The sequence below is a fragment of the Homo sapiens genome, chromosome 13 (genome assembly GCF_000001405.40).
Source record: "Homo sapiens chromosome 13, GRCh38.p14 Primary Assembly".
Classification (NCBI taxonomy): Eukaryota; Metazoa; Chordata; class Mammalia; order Primates; family Hominidae; genus Homo; species Homo sapiens.
This window is the reverse complement of record NC_000013.11, coordinates 72,858,921-72,881,234: the sequence shown is the minus strand read 5'-3', so window position 1 is coordinate 72,881,234 and position 22,314 is coordinate 72,858,921. Positions and strand designations below refer to the sequence as shown.

Here is a 22,314-nt window from a genome sequence, read left to right as displayed (position 1 = left end):
AAATAGAAGATCCTATCATTGTGCTCATTTCAGCAGCACATATATTCAAATTGGAATGATACAGAGAAAATTAGCATGGTTCCTGCACACGGATGACATACAAAATCATGAAGCATTTTGTTTTCAAAAAAAAAAAAAAAATCCTATCATCTAATAACAAGGATAATTTGACTACTCCCTTAACAATTTGACTGCCCTTTATTTCTTTTCCTTGTCTAGTTGCTTTAGCTGGGAATTCTAGTACAATGTTGAATAACAGTGGTGAAAGTGGGCAAGCAGTTATTCTCTTTTTAGAGATAAAGATTCTGAGACTCAGAGAAGTTAACAACTTGCCCAAGTAAGTAGCAAAGCTGAAATCTGCATTCAAGTCTGCCTCAAATTTCTGGGCTAAGTAACAAATCTGCACATATATCCCCTGAACCTAAAAGTTGAATACATACATATATAATAAGGGATCTAGAACAAAAAAGGTCTCAAATAATCTTGAAGCTTCATGAGATTGAAGTATTTTTCAATGTAATGTGACTTTAAGTATTTATTTTTATAGTTTCAAATTTTATTTTAGATTCAGAGGGTTAAATATTCACAAGTAACTATATTAAGCAAGGGTTCTGAAGCCAGACTGCATCAGTTCAAACTCCATACCACTCTTTACTACCTGTGTCTCAGCTTTCATAATTATAAAATGAGCATAACAGTGATAATCTCATTAGGTAATTAGGATAATTAAATGAGTTAATATTGGTAAAATGCTTAAAACTGTATTGGTACAGTAAGCACTATGTGTTAAACATTCAAGTTTGCCAAAGCACTTTGTTTTAAAGCTTGTCATAAGAAAAATAACAGGTGACTTTGTATGTTTCCTGGCTGCAGAGTTCCAATTTTTAGTCTGGCCAAGATGTCTTGTCATGTTCCATGTTTTTCTATAAACCATGAGATGTTCTAATACTTTAAAATATTGGAATTTTGGAAGCACAGAATTTGATTTTTCTTCCATTCAGTGGAATGTAACATCTTATCCTTACCAAGAAACAGAGTTACCCGTTCAAAGTCATAATTTTCCTACCCTGCTAAAGAGATGCATGGGAAAGATATGCATGCTGATATCTCGAAAGCATTGATAAATGGTGACCCATCTATTCAGGCTTGTGAATGATCTCCAAGAAACAGACAGACAATTATCACTGCTGCTTAACTGATGCTGCTGAAAGCTGGCATGCAGACATGTTTTGTAAAGGACCAAAGAGTAAGTATTTTAGGCTTTGTGGGCCAAAAAGTTTCTGTTGCAACAACTCAAATGTGCGGTTGTAGCATAAAAGCAGCCATAGACAATATGTAAACAAATGAGTTTGTGTTCCAATAAAACTTTATATACACTAACATCTACATTTCATATAATTTTCATGTGTCATTAAATATTTATTTTTATTTTTATTTCCCCCTCATAATTAAAAAAAACCACACAAACCAATCTTAGCTTGCAGGCTGTCCAAAAACAGATGGTAGGCTGGATTTGGCCTATCGGCCATAGTTTGTCGACCTCTGACTTGAATTAAGAGAAGCTGTGGAAAATTAGGGATGCCATACTGACCAAGTCCATGACCTAGCTCTTATTGCTGCTTGGAATTCTTTTATTCCCAAGGTATTACATTATTGTATTCTCTATAGTTGTCATTCTAAAAACTGCCTTCTTTTATTAAGACTCTCAGGTCATTTGGAGCCCTCTCCATTGTCATTTGATGACTTCCTTTTACTAAGGTCAAGATCTATCCAACAAGGGTTTATTTCAATTCCCTCCTCTCTACCTTAAAATTGCTTATATTCTAATTTTCTTTCTTTCCCTACACTCCTAACTCAGAACATTCCTTCTCTGGTTGGGAGGATTGTAGATCTCCTTGACTTCCTGATACTAAAAACACTTTAACCTCCTGAAATCTCACATTTAGCTTACATTTGCAAACTTTCCTTTTTGAAGTTCTTCCTCCCAGAAAATATATAATTCCTAACATTTATGTGCCCAACAACATAATGCCAATTAAAACCAAAAAAGAAAAAGAGTGAAAAATAGAAACAAAGAATGAGGGAAAAAATAGAAAACAGTAATAAATATGGTAGCTGCAAATCTACCTACAGTGTATCAATAATCACATTGTATGTAAATGCTCTAAATTCACCAATTAATAGATTAAAAACACACCCAACTATATACTGCCTACAAGAAATGCACTTTAAATATAAAGATACATACAGATTAAAAGTAGATAGAGAAAAATATACCATTATAACACTACTCAAAAGAAACTGGGAGTAGCTTGCATTAATTTCAGACAGAACAGACTTCAGAGCAAGAAAAGTTATCAAGGATAAAGAGGGGCACTACATGATAAAGGGGTCCATTTTCCAAGTAGATATAATAATCCTTAACATTTATATGTCCAAGAACAGATGTCAAAATACACGATAGAACTGCAAGAAGAAATACATGAATCTACTACTATAGTTGAAGACTTCAACACGCTAGTATTAGAAATGGACATATCCAGTAGGCAGAAAATCATTAAAGACATAGTAGAATTCAACACCACCAATCAACAGGTTATAATCACAATTTATCAACAATAGCAGAATACATATTCTTTTAAAGCTCACACGAAATACAGATATGCAGAAGACAGACTGCATCCCAGGCTATAAACACACATGAACAAAGTTAAAAGAATAAAAATCATATGCTCTCTACTCTCAAACCATAATGTAATTAAACTAGAAATCAACAATAAAAAGATAACTGGAAGATTCTAAAATATGTGGATATTAAACAATACACTTCTAAATGACACATACATCAAAGAAGAAAATGCAAGAGAAATTAGAAAATATTTTAAACTAAATAAAAATACAACTTGTGGAACGCAGAAGTGCTTGGAAAATTCACAGCATTAAATACGTATATTAGAAAAGAAGAAAGATCTAAAATCAATCATCTAAACTTCTATCTTAGGAAACTAGAAAAAAAAGAGTAAATTAAATCCAAAGTAAGCACTAAGAAAATAATTACCACAAAAATCAAGATAAAAACCAATGAAATCTAAAGTGGTTCTTTGAAAAAAAAAATCAATAAAACCAGTAAAACTTTAGCTACACTAAGAAAAAGAGAGGACCTAAATTACTAATAGCAGAAATGAAGGCCGGGCATGGTGACTTACACCTGTAATCCCAGCACTTTGGGAGGCCGAGGTGGGCGGATCACCTGAGGTTGGGAGTTCAAGACCAGCCTGACCAACATGGAGAAACCCCATCTCTACTAAAAATACAAAATTAACCAGGCGTGGTGGTGCATGCCTGTAATCCCAGCTACTCGGGAGGCTGAGGCAGGAGAATTGCTTGAACCAGAGAGGCGGAGGTTGAGGTGAGCTGAGATTGTGCCACTGTACTCCAGCCTGCACAACAAGAGCAAAACTCTGTCTCAAAAAAAAAAAAAGAAAAGAAAAGAAAAAAAAGAAATGAAACAGTGGTCATTATTACAGATCCCATGGACACTAAACAAAAGAATACTATGAACAACTCTGTGCTCTCAAACTTCATAAATTAGACAAAATGGACCAATTCCTTGAAAGACACAATCTGCTAAAACTGACACAAGAAGAAACAGAGAATCTGAAGAGGCCTACATGTGTTTTAAAATATTTAATCAATAATTTAAACCTTCCAAAGCAGAAGGACAGGCCCAGATGGGTTCACTGGTAAATTCTACCAATTACTTAAGGAAGAAAGTATACCAGTTCTCTACAGTATCCACCAGAGGCTAGAAGCAGAAGGAATACTTTCTAATTTATTATATGAGGCCAGCATCACTCAAATACCAAAACCAGACAACGACATTACAAGAAAAGAAACCAAGAGACCAACATCTCTCATTAATATAGATGCAAAAACCCTCAACAAATTATTAACAAATCGAAACCATTCATGCATAAAAAGAACTATACACCACAACCAAGTGGGATTTATCCCAGTTATGCAAGGCTGGTTCAAAATTTGAAAATCAATTAATGTGATCCATCACATCAACAAGCTGAGGAAGAAAAAAACCACATGATCCTGTCAATAGATGTAGAGAAAGCATTTCACAAAATCTAACATCTACTGATGATACAAACTCTTAGTAAACTAGGAATAGCGGGAAGTTCCTCAACTTGATAAAAAATAACACAAAAATCCTACAAGTAACATCTTAATGGTAAGAAACCTGAAGTTGTCCTACTAAGATCAGGAACTTTTCAACATCATATTCGAAGTTGATGCTAATTGCAATAAGAAAAGAAAAGAAAAAGTATATAGATTGGGAAGGAAGAAATAAAACTGTGTATGCAGATGATATGACTGTTTATGTAGAAAATCTGAAAGAATTGGCTGAAAACTACTGGAACTAGTAAGTGATTATAGCAATGTTGCAGGATACAAGGGCAATATACAAAGGCCAATCACTTTCCTGTATATCTGCATGGAACAAGTGGAATTTCCAGTTAAAAACACAGTAACATTTATATTAACACCCCTTAAAATGAAATATTTAGGTATAAGTCTAAAATAATATGTACAAGATCTATATGAGGAAAACTAAAAACTCCGATAAGACAATCAAAGAATAATGTAAAAATACTCTACATATATGGGTAAGAAGACGCAATATTGTGAAGATGTCAGTTCTTGCAAGATTGATTTATAGATTCAACGTAATCCCAATCAAAATCCCAACAATCTATTTTGTGGATATAGACAAACGGATTCTAAAGTTAATATAGACAGGCAAAAGACCCAGAATAGCCAATATTATATGGAAAGAGAAGAATAAAACTAGCAGACTGACACTATCCAACTTTGAGACTTACTATAAAGTTACAGGAACAGGACAGTGTGGTATTGGCAAAAGAAGGGACAAATAGATCAGTGGAACAGAATAGAGAGCCCTGAAATAGACCCGCACAGTCAACTGATGTTTGACAAAAAGACAAAGGGAATACTGGTGGAAAGATAGTCTTTTCAAGATATGTTGCTAGAGCAATAGGACATTCACATGCAAAAAAAAAAAAAAAAAAAGAATCTGAACACAGACTTACACCTTTGCAAAAATTAACTCAAAATAAATCATATACCTAAATGTAAAATGCAAAATTATAAAACTCCTAAGGATAACACATAAGACAATCTAGATAACCTTGGTCTGGGCCATGACTTTTTAGACAAAACAACAAACACATAATCCATGAAAAAAAGAATAAACTGGACTTCATTAAAGTTAAAAGTTTCTGCACTGTGAAAGACACCATCAAGAGAAGGAAAATAAAAACCCCAGACTGGGAGAAGATACTTGCAAAATACTTATCTCACGAAGGGTTGTTATCCAAAATATACAAAGAACTTTTAAAACTCAACAAGATAACAAACAACCCTATTAAAAAATGGGCTAAAGACCTTAATAGCCACATCACCAAAGAAGATACAGTGATGGCCAATAAACACGTGAAAAGATGCTCTGCATCATATGTCATCAGGAAAATGTAAGTTAAAACAACAATGAGATACCACTATACATGTATTAGAAAGGCCCAAATCCAGAACACTGGCAATGCCAAATGCTGGCAAAGATATGGAGTAACAGGAATTCTCATTCACTGCTGGTGGAGATGCATACCGATATAGCCACTTTGGAAAACAGTTTGGTGGTTTCTTCTTTTTTTTTTCCCCCACACTACACTGACACATTTCGTGGTTTCTTACAAAACTAAGCACTCTTACCATAAGATCACACTCTTTGCATATTTGCCCAAAGGAATTAAACACTTATCTACCCAAACAACTGCACAAGGATGTTTATAGCAGATTTATTCATAACTGCCATAACCTGGAAGCAAACAAGATGTCCTTCAGTAGGTGAACAGATGAACTGTGATACACCTCAGCAATAGAATACTATTCAGCACTGAAAGATATGAGCTATGAAGTCATGAAAAGACAGGGAGAAACCTTAAATGCACACTACTAAGTAAAAAAAGACAGTATGAAAAGACTACAAACTGTATGATTATGACATTTTGAAAAAGATAAAACCATGGAGACAGTAAAATAATATAGTAATGAAACTATTCTGAATGATACTACATTGATAGATATATACATTACAGATTTGTCCAAACATACAGAATGTACAACCCTTAAGAGTGAACTTGGACCAGAAATGAAAGTATTAAAAAGTAGCCGGACCAAGAGTGAACCCTAATGAAAACTATAGAGTTTGGGTGATAATGATTTGTCAGTGTAGATTCATCAATTGTAACAAATGTAGCACTCTGGTGGGGATGTTCATAATGGGGTAGGCTATACATGTGTAGGGGTAGGGGTTATATGAGCAATCTGTACCTCCTTTCAATTTTGCAGTGAACCCAAAACTGCTCTAAAAAATAAACAGCCACTTAAGCCATTTAAAAAACCAGTTTTATTGGAGCATAATTTACCTACAAAATTAACTAATTTTAAGTGTGCAAGTTCATAAGTTTCAACAACTGTTTTGGCCATGCAACTGTGACTATGATCTTAACATCATTCCCATCACTCCCAAAAACTCTCTGTGCTGCTGCTTTTCAGTCAGTTCTCTCATTCCACCCCTGGCTCTTGGCAACTATTGATTGGATTTGTGTCATTAGTTTTGCCTTTTCTATTATGTCACATAAATGGAATCAAACACTATGTAGTCTTTTGTGTTTGTCTTCTTTCAACATAGAACTTTTATAATAAAAATATTTTCCACATATAAGTAGTTTCCTCCTTTTTTATTGCTATGTAGTATTCCATGGCATGTGTAAACTCAAATTTAGTTTGATGCACTAGTTGTTTCAGCTTGGGGACATTAGAAATATAGCAGCTATAAACATTTACACAGAAGTCTTTATATGTATATAGGTTTTTCATTTCTCTTGAGTAAATAACTAGAAATAGGAATGCTGGGTCTTATACTAAGTTTATGTTTAACCTTCTTAAAAACTGTCAAACTGTTTGACACAGTCACACAAAGTGACTGTGATTCTGCATTCACATAAGCACTGTGTGGACATTTGAGTTAACTGACAACCTTACCAACACTTGGTAATATCCGTGTTTTAAAATCTAGCCATTCTAGTGGTTGTAGTGGTAATGAATTTTGGTATAATTTCCATTTTCCTGGTGATTAATAATGTTTAGCATCTTTTCTTGTGCTTATTGGTCATCTGTATTTCTACTTTCATGAAGTGGCTGTTCAAATCCTTTGGCCATTTTAAAAAATGTTAAATTGAGTAGCTTGTCTTCTTAAGTTGCAAGAGTTCTGGATGTAAGCCCTTTATTAGATATGTGGTTTTCAAATATTTTCCTCAAGACTATGGCTTGTCTTTCTCCTTTATTAACAGAAGAGCAATTTTTTTTTTTATTTTGAGTAAAGTCCAATTTAACGAGTTTTTCTTTTTGTCCCCCAACTACCAGCCAAGTTGGAATATCAAGTTTTTCTTAGGCCAGGTGTGGTGGCTCATGCCTGTAATCCCAGCACTTTGGGAGGCTAAGGTGGGTGGAGTGCCTGAGGTCAGACCAGCCTGACCAACATGGTGAAACCTCGCCTCTACTAAAAATACAAAATTAGCCGGGCGTGGCGACGCATGCCTGAAATCCCAGCTACTTGGGAGGCTGAGGCAGGAGAATCACTTGAACTGGGGAGGTGGAGGTTGCAGTGAGCAGAGATCGTGCCCACTGCAGCACTCCAGCCTGGGCAACAAGAGCAAAACTCCAGCTCAAAAAAAAAGAAAACAAGTTTTTCTTAATGGTTCACGTTCTTTATGTCCTATTTATGCAACCTTTGATAACTCAAGGTTTCTAAGGTTTTCCCTTTTTTTCTAGTTTTTGATCTTACATTTAGATGTATGAATTACAAATTAATTTTTGTATGTATGAAGTAGGGGTGGAGGTGCACTTTTTTGTATATGGTATCTAAATGGTTTAGCAAGATTTGTTGAAAAGATTATCATTTCCTCACTGAACTATCTAGGCACCTTCATCTCCCTTTTTCAAAATTGTTTTGGATGTTCTGGTCCTTTCGATTTCCATGTAAATTTTAGGTTAGCTGATTAGACTACAAAAAAAGTCTGCTGAGTTTTTGATCAGAATTGCACTGACTCTGTAAGTCGGTTTGGGAAAATTTGACACTACAGCAAAATTAAGTGTTCAAATCTATGAACATGATATCTTACTCCACTTATTTAGGTTTTTGTTTTTCCTCAGCAATATTTACTAGTTTTCAGTGTACAGGTCCTGTACTTGCTTCATATTTTGTTAATTTTATCCCTAAGTATTTGATGTTTTTCTGCTGTTGTAAAGGTTTATTTTAGAAAATTTCCAAGTTTTAAATGTATAGCGCTAACATACAGAAATACAATTAAATTTTTTCATAGTAACTTGTATCCTATAATCTTGCTAAAGTTACTTAAAGTTTTTGTAATTTATTTGTAAATTCTAGCCATGGCATTTTCAGAAAACCTCCTGGAGCCTTAATTTCCTCATACAAAGCAATTATGAGAAATAAAAACTGAGAATAAAATTAATTAAACAAAACTCCTAAAACATTTAGCACAATATTACTCCACAGCAATTATTAAATCTCTTCCCAAATTTCAGGGCACTTACTACAGGTTTCAGCATTCTTGATATATCCCAAATCTTTATGTATAGGCTTGTTCTTTCTCCCAGGTTCGAGATCCTTATTCTTATATGTCAACTCTATTTCTATACCTAAATGGTGCTTTAGCATTTCAAGTACAATTCCTAAATCAAAATTATAGCCTTCATTAACACATGAATCACTTCTGTTTTCTCAAAGTCCTATTTCTGATAATGAAATCACTATCATCTCAAACTACCCAGAAAATTCTGCAGGAATCATTGATAACTCTCCAAGATACTTTCAATTATTGTCAGTTACTGAATCCCGTAATAATCACAATAGCTAATATTTAACACATTATGTAACAAACACTATCTCTAACACTCATTTAATCCTCACAATTCTATAAGTTACTATTATTATATTTTATACATGAGGAAACTGAGACATAGAGGTTAAGTAACTTCCCTGAAGTCATGCACCCAGGAACAATAGAGCCAGTATCATAACCTCCTAGGCTATTTACCCTCCAGAAACTGTACTCTTAAACGTAACTTATATTGCCTCTATTGTAAGAGGATCCATCTGTTAGTGGTGATACAGGGACTGGGTGCTATTAAATGATATTAGGGTGAATTCAAAAAATGTCTAAATGCTTTATTAAAATAAGCATTCCCTTACCATGAGGCTTCTGAAAAAGGGGCTAGTAGCTAACAGGAAATAAAATTATGACTATGTTATTAGTTGGGCTTGCAGTAAAAACTCCAACTAAGAGTTCTTGCGTAGAACTCTGATAAGGTTTAAGAGAGGATATTAGCATGTATATATGGCAGAAGACTGACAAGTGGTGCAAGTGAGCTCCAACCTATTTTTCCAGAGCTAGGAAAAGATGATGTGGAAGGGGAAGCTCTAATCATGACTGCAATCTTTTAGAGAAAGATCACTTGAGGCTGGTCGCGGAGGCTCACGTCTGTAATCTCAGCACTTTAGGAGGCCGAGGCAGGTGGATCACAAGGTCAGGAGTTCAAGACCAGCCTGGCCAACATGGGGAAACCCTATCTCTACTAAAAATACAAAAATTAGCCAAGTGAGGTGGTGGGCACCTGTAATCCCAGCTACTCAGGAGGCTGAGGCAGGAGAATTGCTCGAACCCGGGAGGTGGAGGTTGCAGTGAGCCAAGATTGCGCCATTGCACTCCAGCCTGGGCGACAGAGCAAGACTCCATCTCAAAAGAGAGAGAGAAAGAGAGACAGAGAGACAGACAGACAGACACCACTTGACTAGAAACATGGCCCAAACTATATTTTGGAATATGATCTAAATGCATTAAAAATTTTTTTCTTTGTGAGGGATGGAGGATGGCAATAGAGAACAGGTGGAAAAATCTCTACCACCCATCACGTCCAAGTTGTATTTCTAAAACCAATTTTCCCATCTTTATTATCTATGCCACCATCCAATTCAGGCCATAGTTACCAATCATCTGGACTTCAGGAACTCCTATTCAGGGCATCTTGAATTACCATAAATATATATACATATATTACTGCCAAGCTAATTCTCTAAAATGTAAATCTCATCATGTCAGCCCTCACTGCACACTGAAGTAAATAAAAGCTCTTTATTCTGACATTCTACCAAAAAATGAAACTGTCTATCCTTATCTCCTATCTACTTGTACACTCTGAATCAGGTGAATGAATTATCTGTTTTTTTTTTTTTTGAAAATTCTTTTGTTTCTTCTATATTTAGGTTTACAAAATTTTTGGAATAGTCTTCTCTTATATCTGCATGTCAAATTTCACACTTCAAATGCTTGTTTCATGTACCACCTCTTCTAAAAGGCCATTTCCAAAACAGATAGGGACATTCACAGCCTACAACAGACTTCTTAACATATATAAAATTTTGCTTTAAAATATAAATATGTATATATGTATTTCAGCTCTTTCAAAACTGAAATTGTTTTAATTTTTAAAATTCTCTACAGTGTGTCATGCACAAAGGTTCAATAAATATTGACTTGAACAATTTCTAGCCCACCATAGGAAAGTTTAGAGAGATACTTTGGCATTTTATTTCTCTTTCCATAGTCCATACTCCAACAAAGAGAAATCTGAGCACACGTACATATTTTTCTCCAGATTCTCATCTGAAACCATGGGGAGAGATACGTTTCTCTTTTGCCTTTTGATGTACTCAGTAAAGTGCTGAGTTCATAATGTTGGCTCTCATTTAAAATAAAAGGAAACAAGGCAAGCAACATTAAACATTTGAAATCGACAGGAAGGGAATGTTAGGTTCATCTATACATTAAAGAATTAAGGAAGGCAGAGAACAGTTCATAGAATGGGCTATGGAGACTTAATTCTCACAGGAAAAAGGCAGTCATGGTAATTAATTTCCATTAGGTTCTATTATAAAATGGTAATGGAAAATGAGTTTAGCTATATGGAATTGTATGTCATGTACAATTATGTGGGAACAAATTTATAACATTTATCAGATGGTATCTGCAATTAAAAATTCATAAAAGTGCTTATACAATTAAATTATAATTTTTACAAACAAAATTAATAAAAAGAAAAAAGATAACTTTTTCATAATTCTACCTAAATAAACTCAAAAGAATTACTATTGCTAGTCTTTTTTATTGAAAACTCATGAAATATTTGAGCCATTTAAGTCAATACTGCTCTAGTGGTCTCTATCATTAAAGATATATATATATGTGTGTGTGTGTGGAGGTGGGGGGTTAAGTAGCCACAACCTTTAGCTATGCCTTGGTATACCTTATACTTTATAAACAGTGTCTAAAACTTGTGGAATGAAAACTCATACATAAGAATAAAGAGAGGCGATCAGAGCTAATAACTTTCTTATAAGTGGAATGCTTTATTTTTTATTTTTTTATTATTTATTTTTTATTATTATTATTATACTTTAAGTTTTAGGGTACATGTGCACAATGTGCAGGTTAGTTACACATGTATATATGTGCCATGCTGGTGTGCTGCACCCATTAACTCGTCATTTAGCATTACGTATATCTCCTAATGCTATCCCTTCCCCCTCCCCCCACCCCACAACAGTCCCCAGAGTGTGATGTTCCCCTTCCTGTGTCCATGTGCTCTCATTGTTCAATTCCCATCCATGAGTGAGAACATGCAGTGCTTGGTTTTTTGTCCTTGCAATAGTTTACTGAGAATGATGATTTCCAATTTCATCCATGTCCCTACAAAGGACATGAACTCATCATTTTTTATGGCTGCATAGTATCCCATGGTGTACACGTGCCACACTTTCTCAATCCAGTCTACCATTGTTGGACATTTGGGTTGGTTCCAAGTCTTTGCTATTGTGAATAATGCCGTGATAAACATACGTGTGCATGTGTCTTTATAGCAGCATGAATTATAGTCCTTTGGGTATATACCCAGTAATGGGATGGCTGGGTCAAATGGTATTTCTACTTCTAGATCCCTGAGGAATCGCCACACTGACTTCCACAATGGTTGAACTAGTTTACAGTCCCACCAACAGTGTAAAAGTGTTCCTATTTCTCCACATCCTCTCCAGCACCTGTTGTTTCCTGACTTTTTAATGATTGCCATTCTAACTGGTGTGAGATGGTATCTCAAGTGGAATGCTTAATATTTAGTTAGGGTACAGACAATAATGGGGAAGAAGTAGTTTCATCTTTTTTTTTTTTTTTTTTTTTTTACTTTTTGGGAGAGCTGGGGTCTCACTATGTTGCCCAGCCTGGTTTCAAACTCGTAGCCTCTAGTGATCCTCCCACCATGGCCTCCCAAAGTGTAGGGATTACAGGAATGAATCACTGCACCCAGCCATGGAAGAGGTTGTTTCTATAATGAAGAGGTGATATTGGTTATACTGGATACCAAGTTGAAGTATCTGCTGACTTACTTCTTAATCAAATGTATGGCTTAACCAATGGCAAAACATGACACAAAAGAATAGACATGTTTTGTTACACCAACATACAGAACATTCCATTCTTATAAATGACAGGTTATTTATCATACCTTGACTTTCCTGTAAACTACTTATATAAACTATTTTGAAGCTAACATTTCATTGTCATTTACAGGTACGTGAGTACCTTTACAGGTATGTGAGTTCCTTTACAGGTTTGCATATGGATAGCCTATCAGACTAGGATGATCTGGGTGCATTCTTGCCTGAAGGCAAGGAGAAATAGTCTTTTTTTTTTTTTTCTTTTTTAATAAAGAGACAGGGTTTTATTCTGTTGCTCAGGCAGGGGCATAGTGGCACCATCTTAGCTCAGTGCAGCCTTAAAGTCCAAGGCTCAAGGGATCCTTCAACCTCAGCCTCCTGAGGAGCTGAGATTATAGGCACATGCCCACTCTGCGTGGTTAATTTTTTTGTATGTGTGCAGAGATGGGGTCTCACTTTGTTGCCAGGCTGTTCCTGAACTCCTGGCCTCCAGTAATCCTCCTGCCTCAGCCTCCTAAAGTGTTGGGATTACAGGTGTGAACCACCACACACAGCCCAGAGATGTTATTATTTTGTGCATCTGCCATCTTCATGATTTTAGACAAAAAGAATTTTAGAAACCATAGGCATCATTACATGCAGAGAATCTATGAATAATCTAGCCAAGAGAAATTCACATTTGGGGTCCAAGTGAATTAAAACATTTGAATTTTAATGATAGATATGCGACTGTCTAATTAAGCTTTGCTATTTGAAGACGCATAAACTAATTTTCTACTTTTTACAAAAAATACCGACACTTTCCATTTGTAAAATGAAAACACACTACCTTGGAGTTTTAAAAAGCACATCAATTTTAAAACACATGGATCTTCTTTATAATTTACAAAAAGATGCAAGAAAAATCCCAATTGAATGAGTTGCTAACAATTAGAATATACAGTAAGTTGAGGAAAGGGGACTCTTTCTTTAGAGAGCTCATTGTAATAGTGAAGTTTACTCATCTGCATAAAATATTTTTTTACCAGATCTAGTCAGAGACTGCTCTACCTTTATGGTGCTGAAAAGAGAACATAGACACATCTTACTTTAAAAATCAACTAACTAGATGATGGTAATAATAATAGTTAATATTTTTTGAGTACTTTAAATAAAGAATTTCATTTAATTCTATTAATAACTGTATTAGTCCATTTTCATGTGGCTGATAAAGACATACCTGAGACTGGATAATTTACAAAAAAAGAGGTTTAATGGACTTACAGTTCCACATGGCTGAGGAGGCCTCCTTGTGAAGGCAAGGAGGAGCAAGTCACATCTTTTGTGGATGGTGGCAGACAAAGAGAGAGAGCTTGTGCAGGGAAGCTCCCATTTTTAAAACCACCAGATCTTGTTAGACTTATTTACTATCACAAGAACAGCATGGGAAAGATCTGCCCCCGTGATTCAATTATCTTCCACCTGGTCCCTCCCACAACACATAAGAATTATGGGAGCTACAAGGTGAGATTTGGGTGGGGACACAGACCCAAACCATATCAATAACTGTATGAAGCACAGACTTATATATTGGTTGTTTTTCCTTTCATTTACAGTAATATACTTTCAATGGCTAAAATGAATTCAGCATATCTTCACATCTAGCAATAATTTCTACAGAAGCAGAAACTAAGTGATCATACATCTGGGATATATAATACAAAGATACACATTATGCATAAACATTTATTAAAATCAGGAATCACTTGAATGAAAAAAATAAGGAACGAAAATAAAACATGAAATAGTCATTATAAGAGCATCCCAAATCTAAAGGATCTCAAACACAGTAGAGCAAAATTTAATTGCTAGCAATTAAATGGCCTAAATGAAGCTAACATAGCTTGTCTAAAGCTAGGTTTTTATACTGTATCTGTTAAAAATGTATAACTACTGTTTCTTTAATCTTAATGTCACTGTCATGATGTTCTTAAAGAATGTTATTAAAAGTCACACAGGAAGACTTTTAAGTCATAATAAATGTATGTCATAGATCAAATGGCAGATTCTAGAATCTCTAAGGTATGATTTTGTTCAACAGCTAGTAGGTTGAAAGATAGTCCATAGAAATATCATAGAATTTCAGTAACTCCTAAAATTAGAAAATTTTAGTTAAATCATTTCAAAATAAAATGTTACCTTTATTGAAGAACTCAAGTAAATATAATTCACATGAATTAAAAGGTATATGTGGTAGGTTGAATGGTGCCCCCAACCCTGCCAAAAAAGAGAAGTCCATGTCCTAACTCCCAAAAGCTGTGACTATTACCTTATTTGGAAAAAGAGTCTTTGTAGATGTGATTAAGTTAAGCATCTTGAGATGAGAGACCTGTCCTGAATTATCTGAGTGTGCCGTACATGCAATCAGATATATCCATATAAGAGGCACACAAAGGAGAAAGCCACATGAAGACAGAGGCAGAGACTAGAGTGATACGGTTACAAGCCAAGGAAGCCAAGGAATGCCTGGAGGCCCCCAGAAGCTGGAAGAAGCAAGCAAAGGATTACCCCTAGAGCCTTAGGAGACAGTAAAGCCATGTCAACATCTTAGTTTCAGAGTTCTGGCCTCTAGAATGGAGAATAAATTTCTGTTGTTTTGCCACCAAGTTTTGGCAATTTATCATTGCAACCCTATGAAATTAATACAGTATAGTTTTAAATTGTGTTGTTTTTGATGTGTATATTTGAGAACAAAAATATACCTACTGATGTTCAACTTCACACATATTATGCTTCATATACTGTTTACTAAGTATAACATACTGGTGTGGCAGAAAGAACAACTGGGATGGGAACAAAGAGAACAGATGTGTAATTATGGCTCCGTTTCTAGTAACAGTGTAACTGAGGACAAGCCATATTACTTCTTTAGACTTGTTTCCTCATTTGCAAAATGAATGCAATGCTTGCAATCATCTTGAAGCATTTTTCAAACTAAATTTTTATGAACTTTTAAAGTGTTAAAAATAATAAGACACAGTGTAAAAATTATAGTAACAAAAATCAAGCATATTTAAAAGATAACAGTAGATAGATTGGCCACTGAAATTTGCCAGAAGATTCACAGGATTGCATAAATTTATACAAGGTAATTATTAAATACTTATTCAGAGCTGGCAACTATGTAAAATTCTCTATATAAATTGCTAGTTTTTACAAACATAAAGTTTTAGTCAAACGGCCAGAACTGTGCCGGGCTTCATGTTTTCTAATAGAAACACGGCCTGAATGGCTTACAGAAAACATACTACTGCCTATTATGCAGGCATTAAAATAGCTAATACGTATAGAACAGTTAAACAATGCTAGGCATAGTAAAAGTTTAATAAATATTAACTTTATTATTATCTAGGATACATCATATATTCTCTTCTCTAAAGTATCTTCTATCCATAAAAGGACCTCACATCTACAACTTTTTAAGATAATGTTAACAGGGTTTATGTAGTAACAAAATTTAAAAATGGTAACCATTTTTTTGCTCCTCCAAAACATACATTTCCAATCAATCCTGTTTCCTTTTACTGAAAGAACTTTTCATGATGACTACACCACTGAAGTATAATTTAGAAGCAGTCTCTAAAACTGGAAGTAATGTTCATCTAAATTTGCCTGCCAAGTTTAAAAATGTATTAGAAGTTAAACTGAAACATGTTGAAAATGACTCATTGTGGACCAGAATATACACTGTAGGAAATAAGAGCTCATTTACAAGTGGGAGAAATACACTCACACTTCATCTGTGGTAATTCTCTGGACTTTCCTTCCAGTAAACATCATATTTTAAAATAATCGTGGAAAATAATCTTACCCTTAACTTTAGTTTTTATGAGTTGATTTAGTTAGCTGGCATCCCAATTTTTCATACGTCTTTTTTTGGATGTGGGTATATTTACCAAATGTAAATCTATAAAAAGTTCCCCCTATGGCAACAGAGCAGCAGCCTATAAAGAAAGCTGTATGAACACACACACATGCACGCACATGCGCACACACACAACTCACTCTTACTTTCTCTGGTTTTCAGTTCACAAGCATAATGACCAACTATGACGCTAGATTTCTAAGAAACATCCTAAAAAATGTGCACACATATAATGTTTCCTTCATCCACATCATTTCCTTTTGATGCTATTGATGAATAATCGGAAGAACATGTACTTGAGTTCTTTTTCTAGTAACACTTACATATTTGTATTGATTCAGTCTACTCTCTCAACGTGTAACCCCGAATTACACATTTGGGAGGCAGCTGGCTAGACTTAGAAAAGACCATGGAACACCCCATCCTCCTCACTCTCAAGCAAGGTCTGTAAGATGAATGAACCTGATTTTTAAGCTAATTTATGAGTCACACACTTAAATATATATCCGTAATTGTAACTTTAATGTGGCCTTAAGCAGGATTTAGTTAATAAGTGCTTATGAATTAACAACATGATTCCAACTTGTTTATATTTTCTGAGTTTAGTTTCCTTGCTTCATCAAATGTGTTTTGAAGCAGGAACCATAATAAGCAATTAACTGAATTATCTGTTCAGCATGCTTTTTATTTAGAACTTTATCTAGACAGTATACATACCCCTAAACCATGTTTTTAAAATGTGATCATTGCCTCTGGCAACAGTTGAGCTGCCTAGGCTGGGCATGGAACCCAGAATGGGAAAATAAGCACTTTCCCTCTTGGAAATCTCACACGTAAAGATTTTTGAGTATATCTTTATTGTGTACATAGTGTCATTACAGAGGGATTCTCAAGGTTCTGAATTATTTTAAGACAATCCTTAATAAATTATTGCAGAATAGTTTTAATTCTGTATTACTTTGTCTTTTTTCCATCTTTAAAAATCCTCAGTCCCTTTTTTTTTTTTTTTTTTGAGACGGAGTCTCACTCTGTCGCCCAGGCTGGAGTGCATTGGCGAGATCTCTGCTCATTGCAAGCTCCGCTTCCTGGGTTCACGCCATTCTCCTGCCTCAGCCTCCTCAGCAGCTAGGACTACAGGTGCCCACCACCACGCCTGGATAATTTTTTTTTTTTTTCATTTTTAGTAGAGATGGGGTTTCACCGTGTTAGCCAGGATGGTCTCAATCTCCTGACCTCGTGATCCGCCCACCTTGGCCTCCCAAAGTGCTGGGATTACAGGCGTGAGCCACCGCGCCCTGGCCCTGAGTCACTTATTAATGTGGAAAAAATTTTATTTTTTAATCCAAACTGTATTTCTTTTCCTATATACATGGTGTGTTTGTCACATTTACAATTGCTATTAGAAAAGATGGGTGTAGCCTTCTTCCATCTTAATTTATGGTCTCTGTTTTTTTACTTCTTTGGTGTTTGCTTTGCTGTCTGTCCTTTGTTATATAGCCTGTGATTGATCTTTTTCCTCCCTCTGGTAGTATGCAAAATATATAGTCTGTTCCATTTATAGTTTTAAATTATATATTAAAACATGTATTTCTTCATAAAACTATTGATTCTTTCATGAAATCTGAGAACATTATATATGTACAAACACTATTTCTCTTACCATCAATTCCCTAATTTTAGTTGCAAGTTTCTGCTATTTCGCCTCTACTTCTATTATTTTTATGTTATAATTTCTTGTTAACAATTATGATTACAATCTTTTGTAACCAAAATGACAAAGGTCATTAAGATTACATTTTACACTAAACGTTCACTTCCAGTTCTTCTTTACCCTGACATCTCAGTCCATGAGTTCTTTGATTCTTTCCTTCTTTGGTGAAGTTACAATTTCCAGTAGGTTTTTCAGGAAGGCCTTATAGGTAATATGTTTCATGGGACCTCACATGACTGATTCCTTCTCATCTTTCAGACTGCAAACCTCCCTGAATCATACTCAATTTCATATATTTCAAATAACTGCTACTCTCTAAAAATTATTGTTATTTGTATATTTTCTGATTTACATCACAGAAATACAAGTTCCATTAAGACAGAGAGCCTTTCATCTTGTCAAACCCTTAATCACAGTGCCTGAAAATGGTGCTTGGTGGTTAATAAATATTGCTAAATAAATAAAGTATTATTATGGAAGAAAACCTTGAGCTCAACCAAATTAATTAATTTATTTATTTGAGATGGGCATCCCACTATGTCACCTAGGCTGGTCCTCAACTCCTGGACTTTAGCGATTCTCTTGCCTCAGCCTCCCAAGTACCTGGGTCTATAGGCATGCCACTGCATGCAGCTTAGATTTATTTTTTCCTTAGTAAATGACTTACTTATTTTGCGCAGATACTTCTAATTCTATTCCTTTAACATTCATGTTCTGTAACTTCACTTAGATTTACAACATTGCTGTTTCCCATCCTCTTCCCACTACCCAGAATGTGATGAGTTCTTCTAAATTGCAGATTCCTTATTTCAGAAAATGTTTTCTTCTATTGAATCTCTAAATGTTTTTTTTCCTGGTCCATTTTGTTTTCTTCCCTTGGCACACTGAAGATGAATATATACTGTCTGTCCTCCCTGTCAATTACTTTTTCTCTAACTGTTTTCATCACTTTATTCTTTTTTCTGCTCTAGAAACCTCCAGCCTCAAATTACCAACATGGTTTTCTGGAACTCCCCTGACCCTAAATACTATTTCTCTTCCATTCCTTTTTATTTCTATACTATCATTTTCATATATAGTTTCTCTCATTAGTTTCTACCATCTTATTCTGTTGCCATATTTTTCGCTTCAAAGATTGCTGTGTTTTTTCTGATCACTTGAGGTCAGGAGTTTGAGGCCAGCCTGGCCAACATGGCGAAACCCCATACCTACTAAAAATACAAAAATTAGCCAGGTGTGGTGGCACACACCTGTAGTCCCAGCGACTCAGTAGGCTGAAGCATGAGAACTGCTTGAACTCTGGGAGGTGGAGGCTGCAGTGAGCCGAGATCATGCCACTGCACTCTGGCCTAGTAGCAGATTAAAATATAAAGATAAAAGTATATAGAAATATGAAAAAAAGCACTGAAAGGAAATTTAGGACAGCTGATTTCTTTATCAAGCTTTAAACTAGCCCAATATGACATAAAAATCACTTACTCTGCTTATCTGATTTCCCATGCCTTCTTATTTTGGCCTTGTACTAATACAAAATGAGGACAAAAATCCTACCATTACCAGAGAAGTTGGGATTGAAAACATAATTTCAAACAATATTAATTTAAAAATACTTGCAATGAAAATTCTTTTAAAATACATAATATATGTACATAATATATATTCTTATATGTAATAATTATTACATTTTTTGTAGAGATGAGGTTTCACTATGTTGCCCAGGCTGGTCTGAAACTCCTGGGCTCAAGTAATCCTCTCACCTTGGCCTCCCAAAGTGCCTGGATTACAAGTGTGAGCCACTGTACCTTGCATAGAATATATTTTTTTAAATAAAACAAACCATAACTGAAAAAAGTTCACTATTAAAATTAATTTTGAATTGCAACCTTACATTTTAGATCCCAATATAGTATTCTATGTAGTAGCCCACGAATGTAACAGTGTATTCAATTTATTCTACTACAAACACTGAATTTTAAAATTTCTACTTTTTGGAAGAAAGAATCTTAGGAGTACATGCAGGGATTCAAAGCAACAGAATACGACATAATAACTGTTCATGTTCATGAAAACTGGGTATTTGTTACTTATCAAATTGTTGAGCTTGAATTGGGACATACATGAGTCTTTTATTTGCCTGAGAAAAGTCCTTTCCTTTGTAGAAAAGAAAAGTCTTTGAGTAAAAAGCCATTTTCACTCGTTTGAAAAATGGCACACCGTTTCCATACATTTCTCTTTATAACACAGGTTGTTTAATCATAAAAATGTGGCATTTGATAAATAAAAACTTCTAACATAAATGAAAAAGATGAGACAAATTATACCTGACTAGAAAATTATGTATAGGCATGCCAGAGGCTTTACTTAAGCATGATTCAGGGAAATCACATTCCGCATAAAGATTAAAACATAGGAAGTGACAAAGGAAGCCAGAATCACATATTTGAATATTAAAAATTTAACCTCTGAAGAATAAAATATTTTTCCTTAAGCTTCACTATATACAAAATATATACGATATTCCCAAAATATATGAGTTTAAACACATAGGCAACATAGGCACTCTATACTCAAAATAACTTCAGTAGATTCTCTGTCTCTCTACTGTCACACACACACACACACACACACACACACACACACACACACACACCCCTAAAAAAACACAGGGAAAGCGAACTACAGAAATCTTTTAAATAATATCCTCAAAATTAGCTTGTGTTCACCATTTCTTTTGCATGGTAATTTAATGAGTGCGTCAACTCTTTTACACGGTTGTCACATCAGGATGAAAGGGGGCTTTAAACTCATCAAGCTACCCACTTGATGCTTCAACCTTTACAAGCACATTTCTACTGAATTTGGCTTATGCCTGAATACTTCTACTGATAGAGAATGTATCAGATGCTAAGGCATTGTGAAAAGTCCTACTATCTTTACGCTTTCTTGTAGTGATTACCCAGTGGTCCCAATTCTACTACTTTATGTCTTGCCAAGTAAGAAATCCAGCTTTTTCATATGTGAACGCTTAAAATACTTGTAGGTAGTTACAGCCTAGCACTAATAGGGCACTTTTGAATCTTTTTGCAGTTATGGCCATATTCCTCTGAAGACCTTTTAGTTTAAAGCTTGGGTGCCCAGTTATCAGCATAATTCTATAGGTAAGGTAATTACAGATCACATTCTACATATAACTTCTATTACTGTAGGATAATATCTCCATATTGAAACCATGCAGGTCATTTTCACATTTCACATCTAAGCCTATAAACCTATAAACCATAGGTTTTCTGGACCCAACTGCATGATCTTACATTTATTCCTATTAAAATTCATTCAGTTAATTACTTCTGCCTGAAAAGATCTATTAGATCCTTACTTCATTATTCAATTAATTTGTTGTTATTGTTTTATATCAAATTTGTTAAATATGGTTTTAATTTTTCCTGAAATCACTGACAAAAATGCAGAAATATAGTACTGCAGGATATTATAGATGAGTACCATATACCCATTTTTTAATTAATAATTCTCTAACAACATTTGGATAAAGCCCTTCAGTAGTTACTAATCCATTTACCTGGCCTTGAATTGCTCCCATATTTTCCCCATATTGTTTAAAAGGATGTCATGGAAAGTCTTATCAAATCCCTTGTTCCCTATCTAACTCATTTCCATGCTTTACCCCTGCAATATATCTCTTAAAAATTGAAATGTAGTCTTCTTTATTTTTAGAGAACCCATCCTAACTCTTGGTGATACTTGCTTCTTTCAGCAGCAATCTTAAAAACCATTGCAAGCATGGCTGCTTACTGAGCATAATCTATGCCATACACTTAAAATATATTATATCTAAGGCTCAAAGCAATCCTAAATGGTTAGAAACATCACGTCTGACAATGAAAAAAGCAAAGGTTTATCAAAGTACTTACATCCATTATAGTTAAAAAAAGTCAAGTAATTTGCTTAAAGTTTATGTAAGATTGCATCAAATTATTAGAGTATAATTTATCAAAATATGTTATGTAATGTAATCTACTA

General features: G+C 34.7%; 1 protein-coding gene and 1 pseudogene across 16 annotated transcripts in view, besides 1 other annotated feature; one reads left to right on the top strand and one right to left on the bottom strand.

Moving 5' to 3' along the window:
* The window catches only part of PIBF1 (progesterone immunomodulatory binding factor 1), a 234,329-nt gene that overhangs the window by 135,227 nt on the left and 76,788 nt on the right, over positions 1–22,314 (bottom strand). The gene's annotated exons all lie outside the window — the stretch shown is intronic.
* RNU6-79P (RNA, U6 small nuclear 79, pseudogene) lies at positions 21–127 on the top strand (annotated as a pseudogene).
* Positions 16,210–16,379: an enhancer, noted in NCBI's record as "active region_7816". NCBI's record gives its function as "activates an Ori minimal core promoter by ATAC-STARR-seq in GM12878 lymphoblastoid cells {active_cell/tissue: GM12878}" and the evidence as "EXISTENCE:reporter gene assay evidence [ECO:0000049][PMID:35858748]".